Source organism: Homo sapiens, chromosome 16 (assembly GCF_000001405.40).
Source record: "Homo sapiens chromosome 16, GRCh38.p14 Primary Assembly".
NCBI lineage: Eukaryota > Metazoa > Chordata > Mammalia > Primates > Hominidae > Homo > Homo sapiens.
Window position 1 is genome coordinate 49,310,274 of NC_000016.10, and position 12,380 is coordinate 49,322,653.

At 36.0% G+C, this 12,380-nt stretch overlaps 1 long non-coding RNA gene across 1 annotated transcript, besides 2 other annotated features; it reads right to left on the reverse strand.

Annotated features, from left to right (window-relative positions):
• Nucleotides 2,011-2,512: an enhancer, noted in NCBI's record as "H3K4me1 hESC enhancer chr16:49346195-49346696 (GRCh37/hg19 assembly coordinates)". NCBI's record gives its function as "activates a minimal SCP1, AML or CMV promoter by ChIP-STARR-seq in naive H9 embryonic stem cells {active_cell/tissue: H9 hESC(naive)}" and the evidence as "EXISTENCE:reporter gene assay evidence [ECO:0000049][PMID:30033119]".
• On the reverse strand, nt 2,238-6,242 carry LOC105371243 (uncharacterized). Its single transcript, XR_933533.3, has 2 exons — nt 6,155-6,242; nt 2,238-2,785 (listed from the first exon to the last, which is right to left on the reverse strand). It is a non-coding gene; the product is annotated as an uncharacterized LOC105371243 (long non-coding RNA).
• Nucleotides 2,513-3,012: an enhancer, noted in NCBI's record as "H3K4me1 hESC enhancer chr16:49346697-49347196 (GRCh37/hg19 assembly coordinates)". NCBI's record gives its function as "activates a minimal SCP1, AML or CMV promoter by ChIP-STARR-seq in naive H9 embryonic stem cells {active_cell/tissue: H9 hESC(naive)}" and the evidence as "EXISTENCE:reporter gene assay evidence [ECO:0000049][PMID:30033119]".
• Nucleotides 6,243-12,380: the final 6,138 nt, after the last annotated feature.

Genomic DNA, 12,380 nt, shown 5'->3' on the forward strand with positions numbered 1-12,380 from the left:
TTTATAGCATTTCCTTAAGGAGCAAAGTCCATTTTTATATCATTGTGAATGTTTTGTTTTGGTGGTAATGATTTTTTGATATCTAATAATAAAATGTTGACAGTGGTAAAATCCTTGTGATAGCTTATAAAGCAAGAATTGATTTTGCTCTTCATTGCACACTCTTTGAAAGTGTATATTCATGGCTCTTTTTCCTGGATTTTTCTAGTTATTTTGATCTGCTATCTATAATTATACTGAAAATGAATTTCATATGTTTAAAAATTATTTTAGATATCATCTGTCTTCAGGCAGAAGTCATAGCAGACTGGAGGCAGTCTACCAGCTTTAAATCCCAGCTCTCCCACCTATTATCTGGAAACCTTAGGCAAACCACTTTAATTTTTTGCTTCTCAGTTTCTTAATCTGCAAAATGGGGTACCTGTAAAATAACAGTGCAAGTGTCATGGGACTTCTGTGAAGATTAACTGAGTGGTAACACTTCAGAGGGTCCTGGAGCAGTGCTTGGCATAGAGAAAACATTCTACAGGGCCCAGCAGTCATTGTCCCTCAACTACCTTAAGATTCATACAAATGAGGAGAAACACTGTAGATTTAGTGCTCTCTGGAAAGTATATTCAAGTCAAAGAGCAGCTGACGTCTCTAATTGTCATTTCATATGCCGTTAGTGACACCGAAAAATAGACCAATACAGACAATGACGAGCACAACTGATCTATATGAAACTATCATTTATAGATTCTCCATCACACACTTTCAGCCACCCAAGCTCAGTGCTTTCTTACTCCAAACACTTAAAAAACAAGTTAAAAACAGACAAAAAAACTCACAAAAGATATGTCCTTGAACCACAGCTCCAAAAGTCTGGCCCATCACAAGTGTGATGGTAGAGTTATCAGGGTCAGAATGTGTTTGGCCCCACCTGCCCCAGGAGTCCGCGAAGCTCCGTGAAGGCAAAGGCCATGTCCATGCCAACCACATGTTGGTGGAATTCAGTCATTTCTAGGTGCTTAGCGTCAGGTGGGTGCCGCCTTCATTCTTTGTTTTAACTGACAAATAATTGTGTATTTGTGGGGCACAATGTGATGTTTTGATGTATGTGTGCAATGTGGAATGATTGATCAAATCATGCTAACAAATCCATCACCTCACATACTTATCTTTTTTTGTGGTGACAACACTTGAAGTCTCCCCTTTTAACAATTTGGAAATATACAATGCATTATTACTTATTCTAGTCACCATTCTGTGCAATAGCTCAGTAAAGTTTATTCCTCCTGTCTAACTAAAATTTTGCACCCTCATCTCTCACCTTTTTCCCTCCAACCCCCTTTCCCAGCCTCTGGGAACCACCATTGTACCCTCTGCTTCTGTGAGCTTGATGTTTCAGATTCCACATGTGAGAATCACAAGTTAGATCATGTGGCATTTGTCCTGTGCCAGGCTTATTTCATTTAGTGTAATGTCCTCCAAGTTCATCTCTGTTGTCAAAAATAACAGAATTTCCTTCTTTTTAAAGGCTGAATAGTACTCCGTCTTGTACACGCACGTTTTCTTTATACATTCATCCAATGACGAACACCTCGGTTGCTTCCATAACTCAGCACTGTGAATTCTGCAGTGAACACGGAAGTGCAAATATCTCTGTGGCACACTGAGTTCAGCTCCTTTGGATCTCTACCCAGAAGTGGGATTGCTGGGCCCCATGGTAGTTCTATTTTTAGTTTTCTGAGAAACTTCCATGTTGTTTTCCATCACGGCTGTGCTAATTTACCTTCCTACCAACAGTGCACAAGGGTTCCCTTTTCTCCACAGCCATGCTAACACTTGTCTTCCATCTTTTTTTATAATAGCCATTTTAACAGGTATGAAAGAAAGGGGCCCCTTTGTTCTTTCCAAACGTTTTTCATGTGCTCTGTCCCCAGCCCCTGGCTGGCTGGATGCCGGGATCAGGGTGTGTGAATGCCCTTCCACAGCTTCCCAGGAGTGCTGGGCTCAGGGTGGGAAGAGCTGAGTTTGAGGCCCGGTCCCTTACTAACGAACAATAATTAATATAACCTCTCTGGCTTTAGGGAGTCTAGGGGACATGTGGTCATCAAAGATTGAGTGAAATTAACATGTGAAATGATGTAACAATGTGGGACTTTAAATAGTGAAAGCGGAATTTCACCAGAAATTACTTTGATGGCCACAACTAGATGTTAAAATGAAAGCTGACGCATACTTATGACAGAACATGAGCCACATTATTTTATTTCTGCATTTCTGCACTCTCTCCTTACTTTGGTAAATCATTTTGAAACAAGCACCCCCCACCCTGCAGCTCTTCCATTCATGAATGATGCAATATTGAGCTGTGATATTTTCAGAAGTGTTTGCTAAGCATTGGCAGCTTAACTAAAAGCATCCTCTCTATTTTGCTCTTGGATCACTGCTCTCACCTGTTAACCCCCAGCAGAAAATCTGCCTGCTGAACAATAGCTTGCAAACGCAGCGTGGCACTCGGTGCCGGTGCCGGCATAAAGGAGTCAGCGAGCAGGGCGTTGGGTCAGCTTGCTGTTGAGGGCAGGCTGTTTTTGTTGGCACATCCCTTTTGTGAAGGATGTAGTCCTTGTTCTACCATCTGTACCAGGCTGCACACCATCTATTTATTTGCTATCCTTGAACTAACGGGGTATTTTCCCCCAGCCATAAATGGGTTGGTGTGAGAGAAGCTTCTCCTGCTGAGGGACTCACTTCTGCACCGCATCCTCTTTGTTAATCTTCTGCAAAATAAGGCAGTTTTCTGTTGAAGAGAAAGCAATCATCAATTTTTCATAAGAGCAGCAAAGTTGTGAATATCAGAGGACCTCTTGAATAAAGAGCTTAGAGGTTCCAGTGAGAGACGAATAACAAAGCCCTGGGGGGAAGAAAAAAGTATATCCTTTTTTATACTATTTATCATCAACTCCCCCCTCCACGCCCCTGCCCCCCCATCATCCGCAGTTAGGAAGGAAGAAGCCATTTATGCAAGCTAACAGTCCTTCAAACCTCATGAACCTTAATTTTAATCCTTATCAGTGCCTTTTTAAATGAATAATACAGTGACCTTCAGCTTTGTCCTATATTATGTGAGGTTGATTCGTAAAGACTGCTTTAGTTTTTTAAATTAAGGCAGAAGCTATATGTATTCTACTCAATTCTAGCATTAGTGCTGTCCCAAGAGTGGCATTTATGTTCTTTTGCTTCTTTGGTATAAATAAATATCAAAGTAGGAAGACCAGTGTGAATTCTACAAGGAATAATAAACTAAAATAATATGGCATTGATTTTGTTCAGGATGTCTAAGTGTGTTTTTATGATTGTGTATTTTTATAGCTTTTTCACACAAGTGACATGAATTCTGGGCAATTAAAAAGGACATGAATTTCAAGGCATTTAGGAAGAGAATCTGTTTTCTAATAGCTGTGTCTTTTACCAAGTTGTGGTTTTTGAGAAAAGCATTGTCGATTTCAGACCTCCACCTTCAGAAACTGGCCAGTTATTGCCATTTTGTATTGTTTTACAATATTATTGCCATGAGACTACATTAGAGAACTTTGTTTTGGCTGCTAAAGTGCAATATGTGGATATAACAATCTAATAAAGAAGCAGAGAAAGATTCCTTTACACTGCATGTGTATTATCTTTTTGAGTTTCTTCTGACCAAGGGTTCTTAGACTGTAGCTTTGAGTCTTATTAGTGAGGTCTCAACCCTTCCTACTGTTGAGGGAGGCATGGGCCCCAGGAGCGTGTGAGCCTTGGACAGTCACAGAGACAATTCGTTTACAAATGGGAGGGGAGCCCAACGTGGATGGCTTTCCACATGATGAATTTATGACAACTCATGTTGTCACAAATTTCAGTAAACTAACAGTAGCAGATCCTATGCTGCTGGGCTAACTTCTCTATCCCCTTCTCTCAGTCCTTCTTAGATCATTAGTGTTATTTTTTTATCAACTTTTTGTTGCATTATATAAATTACTCAAGTATTACTTAAATTACTCAAGTAATACATAAATATCAGCAACTTGAAAAAATTAAAACATTATAGATAAGTTAAAAATCACCTTGGACCTCTACCACCATACAAGTTCCTATTCCCCCTCCTCTCCTCAATACCCTCCACCTTCCCAGTAACAATTACCAGTTTAGTCTGAATCCTCTGAAATATTTTTTGTATATTTAAGCACAGTGCTGTGAATCTATAGCACTAAGCAACTAGATAGCATTGTTTTTTAAAGGCTTTTTCCCCTATATAGGCATAACATTGAATGTGTCTGCAGCTGGCTTTTTACTAATATTTCTTTAAGATCTTTCCATGTTAATTCATATAGATCTACCTCATTGTTTCATAATATTTCATGTTGTGCCTATGCTGTAATTTATGTAGCTTTTCTCCTATTCAGGGGCATTTGTGTTCCAATTTTTCTCTATTAAAAATGCCACTGTGGTGCGTGACTTCTTATGCACATGAGTGCCTCTCTAGGTTTATACCTACAGATGGAATTTCTGGGTTACAGAATGTGCACATTTTAGATAGGGTCAAATCGCTCTCCAAAATGGAGTTAATGTACATTTCTCTTATTACTAATGAGATCGAACCACTTGTCATATGTTTATTGGCTATTGGTATTTCCTCCCTATTATTTGCTTATTCAAACACTTTGACCATTTTTCTATTGGGTTATTAATTTGTCTAATTACTTTGTAGGAGTTATGTGTGTATGCATGTGTATATATACATACACACATATATATATACACATATACACACTGTATTGTGATCCTGTATCTGTTACATATGTCAGTCTCCCAGACTTTGGCCTGTCTTTTCAATTTGTTTATGGTGTCTTTTGTCACCATTGTTTTTGACCTAGATTTATATTTTTCAATCTTATTCTTTTTTTCTCCGAATTTCCTTGTAAATATGCTGTAATTATCATTGTAAACTTATTATACATTGCTTATTAGAGAAATAACCAGATTCATTTGGGGTTTGAAGCTGAGACTCTGTGCTGACTCCTTGCTGTCCATCCCTCAGTTGTAGGGGAGCCTCATGTGGGGAGGGTGTGGTCATAGCTACTGAAATCCATTTCCAGCAAACTAGGATGATAAAGCAGCTTTGGTGTGAATGTTTTCTTTCACAAATGTATGTGGATTGAAGGTTTGAAGTTTGAGGCAACATATATGTGGAGAGGGTGAGCGCATTCATTATATGTGGGAGGGTTTTTTCATTTTTATTTTTTGGGTTTTTTTTTTTTTCTGGTGTAATTGGGAAGGAAAAGAAACAGCTCAGCACTTTCCCTGCCATCTACTTTTCAGAAACTATGGGCCCACAACTCCCAAGGCTGTATTCTAGGTTTTATTGTATACTTCAAATTGGGATATATCTCAAAACAGTTGCATTTAATTGGGAGATTATTAAAAAGCATGAGCAAATTCAGAGTTTCTTGCCCAGAAAATGCTGCCAATGTCCAACCTAAATGAGGACATTCTTCCCTTCCTGTTTCACAGTCCTGCCAGGAGCCATATGAAGAAGGCAAGCCAGTACAGATGATGGGTACACCGGGGCTCAGACTTCACCACTATGCAATATACACACATAAGCAATCTGCACTTGCACCCCCTAAATATACACATATAAAATAAATAAAAACAAATTTTGATAAAGGTAAACCAGGTCAGGGCTTTTACCAGACTGCTGTTCCCCAAACTTCAGTTATTTGCAAACCATCTTGACAAATGTTGCCATAACAACTTTCCTCCTATTAATATGCTTAATATTCTTCTAATATTAATATCCTCCTAAGAATATGCTTAATATTCTTCTTAAACTACCTACTTATTGTTTGTAAATTTATTTAAAAGGATAAATTTAACCTTTGTCACTGGCCACAGATGGAAAACCAGTTTCACTTTTCATATATAAAATAGACAGTAACCATGAAAACAAACACAAATACAACAATCAAATATTAGTGAAATACTCTGAGCCGGAGGTCTGAGAATGAAATCTTTTAACAAGAGTTCTTGTTTAAAAGGCTACCAAACCAACATTTTTCTCCTTGACATAAATAGGATTGAAAGAGAATTGAAAAAGGAACAACTTTTCCCACGAGACTTGGGGTCATACCGATTAAAATCTTGCATCAACTTAGAATGAATCAATCATACAGAATTTTGGGTGTCTGCATGTTCTTGTTGGTGTGAGGTCATCATCTGTGTATCCAGAGCACATACTTTGCCCGACTACCTTGTCCCCACACCATTTGGCTTCACACATAAGCATTGTTCCGTCAGAGTCAAAGAGCAACAAGGCTCTTTGTCACCATGAGAGACAGAGAGAGACAGGGCGAGGTGGGGGGCAGGAGGGAGAGAGCACAATAAATTCAGTCGAATTGAAGCTTATATTGGGAAGAAAACAGCCGGCTACTAGCTGTAATATAGACGTTCATGGCCATATGTAAAGTGCAGCCATGTTACTCAAGGATCCATTTAATTTGTTCTGGGCTCTGATGTCACCATGCACCCACTGAGGTGTTTTTAAAACACATTGAGATCATACATATAGTTAAAAACAATCAAGTAATACCAATAGGGTTATTAAATGATTCCCTATTAAATTTATTTCCTACCCCATCTTTTTCTTCTCTCATCGTACTTCCAAAGGCAGCCAGTTTTAACCCATTCTATTGATAGGCCTTCTGGTGGTTAGCTCCACATTTATAAATAATATGCTTACACCTTTATTTAGTAGTTTGCCACCTTAAACCAATATCTATCAAATTTTTGCTATGTCAGATGAGAATTTAATTAATATTATTATCCTAACCTTTTCCTCTAACTTCATTATGTTTTGACCATTGAGAAGGCTCTTGTCAGTCTGATTCTTAGTTCTTTATAGGTGATCTGTTTACTCCCGTGGAAATTTTCAGGATTTTTATTTTTGTGCTTCTGAAATTTCACAATAATACATAAGATTTTATGCCCAAGTATTTTGGATTTCTAAAAAGATGCCAACTCAGTTATTTTCTGTAGTTTCTTAGTATTTCATATATTTTGATACTGTTGTAAATGGTATCTTTTTTCAAATATCATTTTCTGATTATTCATTTTAGCATAGAGAAATGCAACTCATCTTTGTAGAACGATCTTGTATTCTACACCTTGATCAACTCACTTATTACAGCATTTTTGTACACTTCATTGGATTTTCTAGTTGACAATCATGTCATATGTAAATAAACAAAACTTTACTTCTTCTTTTACAATCTGGTCTTTTATTTATTTTACTTAACTTATTCCACTGGCTAGGAATTCTGGTGCAATATTGAATAGAAGTGGTGAGAGCAGACATCCTTGTCTTATTTCTGTCTTATTCTAGGGAGGGAAATTCAGGTTTAAGTAATAAATATTCAGTCTTGAATATTACACCATTAAGTGTGATATTAGCTGTATGGTTTTTTGTATATGCCCTTTATAATATTGAGGATGTTCCCTTTAATTCCTACTTTATTGAGAGCCTTTCCAGGAAGATATGTTAGATTTTTTCTGATGCCTTTTCTGCATCTATTAAGATGATCATATGGTTTTTCTTTATAGTTTAGCAATATAGTGGATTATATTGATCATTGATTGATTTTTGAGTGTTAAACCTATTTTGCATTCCTGAGATAAACTCTGCTTTACCATGATATTCTTTTTGGCGTATTGCTGGATTCAATTTGCTAAAATTTTGTTTAGAATTTTTCTAGGTTCATGAGGATATTGGTCTGTCTTCTTTGCTTGTAATGTCTTTGTCCAGTTTTAGTATTAAGGCATTGCTGACCTCATAGAATAAATTGGAAAATATTTCTTCCTTTCCAATTTCATGGAAGAGTTGTGTAGAGTTGGTATTATTTCTTCTTTAATACTTGATATAATTCACCTCTGAAGCCATTTGGCCCAGAGTTTTCTTTGTGAAAGAGTTTTTTTTAAATTACAAATTCAATTTCTTTTATAGATAAAGGGCTACAAGGTTATCTAATTCTTCTTGAGTAAGCTTTGGTAATTTATGTCTTTCAAGGAATTTGTTCATTTGAGTTGTTGAATTTGTCGGCATAAAGTTCTTCACAACATCCTCGTTTTTATATTTTCAGCATCTGGGGACTGAACAGTCATGCCACTTCTCTCAATTCTCCTGTCAGCAATTTCCGTCTTCTTTTTTTTTCCTAATAAGTCTGGCTAAAGGTTTATCAGTTTTATTGATCTTCTCAAAGAACCAGCTTTTTGTTTCATTAACTTTTTTCTATTGTTTTTCTTTTTTCTATGTCATTGTTTTCTGTTCCTTTGTTATTTCCTTCTACTTAAAGTTTGATTTGCTCTTTTTTTTTTTTTAGTTTTTTAAGGGAAAAACTAATACTTTTTTTCTTTTCTAATATAAGCTGGTACTATAAAATTTTCCCTAAAAACTGTTTTAATGGCATCCTCCAAATTCTGATATATTGTATTTTAATTTTCATTCAGTTAAAAATACTTTCTAAATTCCCTTTTGAGTTCATCTTTGACCCATGAGTTATCTAAAAGTATGTTGTTTTGTTTCCAAATATTTGAAGATTTCCCAGAGATCTTTCTGTTGCCATTTTTTTATTTAATTCCACTGTGGTCAGATAATGTACTTTGTGTGACTTTAATTATTTTCAGTTTAATAAGACTTATGGACCACTGTATGATCTATTGTTATAGCTGTCCATGTGTTATTGAAAAGAATGTGTATTCTGCTGTTTTGGGAGTGAAATGTTCTATAAATGTTCATTTTAAAAGTTACTTGATAATGTTGGTCAGATCTTCTATTTTCTTATGGATTTTCATTCTGTTTGTTCTATATATTATTGAGACAGAAGTATTAAAATGTCTGACTATATTTTTGGATTTGCATGTTTCTTCTTGCAGTTATACCAGTTTCTATTTCGTGTCTACTGAAGCTTTGTTAGTAGGTGCATAGACATGATTTGTGATTATTTATGTCTTTTTGATGAAATGACTCCTTATCATTATGAAATGACATTTTTCATCCCAGGTAATACTCTTTGATCTGAAACATCTTTTGCTTGATATTACTGTAGCTTTCCTTGATTGGTGTCACACATGATATTTTTTTTTATCCTTTTACTTTTAACCTGTTTGTGCCATCACACTTGAAATGTGTTTCGTGTAGGCAACGTGTGGTTGGGTCTTCTTTTTTAATCTAATTTGACAATCTCTTCTTTTTAATTGGGGCATTTAGACCATTTATATTTAATGTGATATGTGATGTGATAAGGTTTATATGCTAATTTTGTGGGAGGGTTTTGTCCCATCTCTTCTTTTTTTTTTTCTCTTTTCCTGCCTGATTTTAGATTAAATGAATAATTTTTACAATTTCTTTTTGTGTCCTTTGTTGGCTTATAAGTTATAATTTTTGTTTTGTTATTTTAATTGTTACTTTAGGACTTATAGTACATACATTTAGTTTATCACAGTTTACCTTCAAGTGATTTTATGCTCACATATAGTGTAATAATCTTGGAATAGTATATTTTGATTTTTCCCCTCCCAATCTTTTTTGAAATTATTGGAAAACATTTAACCTCTACAGATTTTATAAACTCTACATTATGTTATTATTTTTATTTAAATAGTTAATTGTGTTTTAAAGAGATTTTTAAGTTAGAAGTAAAACATGCACACACATATGTGTATATATATATGTATATGTGTATACATACACATAAGTACACACACACCCATTTCCAATACTCTTCATCCTTTGTAGAGATTCCTGTTACCATCTGGTGTTATTTTCATAACCCTTAAAGGACTTTTTTTAAATTTTGTGGTGAAATCTGCCAGTGATGAATTCTTCTAAGTTTTGTGTGTCTGAAAAAGTCTTTGTTTCCTCTTCACTTTTAAAAGCTATTTTACTAAATATAAAATTCTAGTTTGACAGTTTTTTTCCTTTTAGTACTTTAAAAATGTTGCATCACTATCTTCTCACATGCATTATTTCTGTCTAGAAATATATTATACAATAATCCCTGCCTTGATTCTCTCCATATAACGTGCCTTCTTATCTGAAGCTGCTTTTAAGATTTTTTGTTCGTCACTTCTTTTGAGAAAGTTGATTATGATGTACCTTGCTGTAATTTTCTTCGTATTTCTTTCGCTTGGGGTTTATTGAATTTCATGGATCTCTGGTTTTATTTTTTCTATCACATTTGGACATTTTATATCCATTATATCTTCTAATTTTTTTCTATCCTGTCCTCTTTTTATTTCAGGGACTCCAGTTTCTTAAGTACAGGCTACTTGAAGTTAGCCCACAACTCACTGATGCTCTACTCATTTTATAAATTATCTTTTCCTTTGTCTTCCATTTTAAATATTTTTGTAGCTATGTCTTCAAGTTCACTAATCTTTTCTTCTGCAGTCTCTAATTTTCCATTATTCCCATCCAATGTAATTCTTATCTTAGACATTGTTTTTTATCTGTAGAAATTTGATTTTGGCCTTTAAAAAATATCTTCCATGTATCTACTTAACTTTTTAAGCATTTGAAATGCAGTTATAGCAACCGCTAATTCTGTGTTAATTTGGGGTCTATTTTGATTGATTGATTTGATATCCTCTTATGGTCCTATTTTCCTGCTTTTTGTGTGCTGGTTAATTGTTGACTGGGTACCAGATATTGTATATTTTACTGTATTGGTACTGGACATTTTTTTATTCCTATCAATATTCTTAAGCTTTAATCTGAGACACAGTTTCATTGCTTAGAAGCAGTTTTATCCTTTGTCCTCACTTTTAAGGTTTGTTAGGTGATACCAAAGCAGTGGTTGGTTTAGGTGTTGCTATTCCCTACAATAGAGGCAAACTGCTCTATGTCAGAGAATCTTAAGGTTTCCCAGTCTGACTAGCAGGAATAGACTCTATTTCCAGGTCTGTGTAAGTAGCGGGCACTGTTCTTCAATCTTTTTGTGTGGATTTCCACCTAACCTTAGGTAGTTTCCTCACATGCATACACTTCTCAGCAGTCAGCTGAATACTCAAGAAGGACTATCCTTATTTTTTTAAATTGTTATTTATTTATTTATTTATTTATTTATTTTGAGATGGAGTCTCACTCTGTCACCCAGGCTGGAGTGCAGTGGTATGATCTCAACTCACTGCAACCTCCTCCTCCCAGGTTCAAGCAATTCTTCTGCCTCAGCCTCCCAAGTAGCTGGGCTATAGGTGCAAGCCACCATGCCTAGCTAATTTTTGGTATTTTTTAAATAGAGGTTTCTCCATGTTGGCCCAGGCTGATCTTGAACTCCTGACCTCAAGTGATCCACCTGCCTCGGCCTCCCAAAGTGCTGAGATTACAGTTGTGAGCCACCATGCCCAGCCAGAAGGACTATCTTTAGATCTTTGGCATTTTCTCTATGTGAAGCCTTCTCTCCAGTACTCTTCTCTGTAAACTCTAGCTGCCTAGGTGTCCTCAGACTCAGCTTCATCTACTCAATGTGAGGAGCCCACCAGGCTCTGCCTGGATTTGCCCTCTCATGCTGTAGCCTGGAACTTCTCTCCAGGCAGTAAGCTTAAAAATCACTGGGCCCGTGTCATTTGCTTCCCTTCTCTCAAGGATCACTGATTGTTGGCTGAAGTCCAGTGTCTTGCATATTATTTAATATATTTTGTACTGGGATGGGGGGAGTGAGGTTAGGTGGGAGGATAAAGCAAGTTCCTATTACTCCATTTTGGCTAGAAGTGGAAATTTGGGATTTACTCTCATTTTAGTGGGGTTTTAGTTAGGACAAGAAATAATGCATGTGCTTATTCCACCATATTGAGCCAGGAGCACATTGCACATTTTTAAAAAGATCTTGCTGCTTGTGTTATTGGAGCCTCTATAACACTTAGCTCATGGTTTTGTTAATTAATTGTCCAAGTTCATATTCTCTAAATGGACTTGTTGAGAAGTGGAAACTGTGTCTCATTCACTTTGGGATAGTCTCAGTGCTAAATTGGAGCTCCATAAATGCTTGTTGAATGAATTAGTGAATTAATACTGTTGTCTTATTGGTAAAATTGCAAGTTTAAAGAGTCAGGACTGAAGGTAAGAGTGCTTTTTAATTAAAACCTTTGTAGGGAAATGCAATTTACCTTTCAGGACATTATTCTTTTCAGGCTACAGCTTTTTAAGAGCTGTTAACATTAGCACCCACTTCTGCCTTTGTGGCAGGAAACACTTCTTAAAAATGTTGTCACATATTTTCTGGTAGAATGTATACGCAACACTTGGGGGAATTTTATTCTTGGCCATTTATCCTGGTCATTTTCTAATCTGATCTCAATGTAAA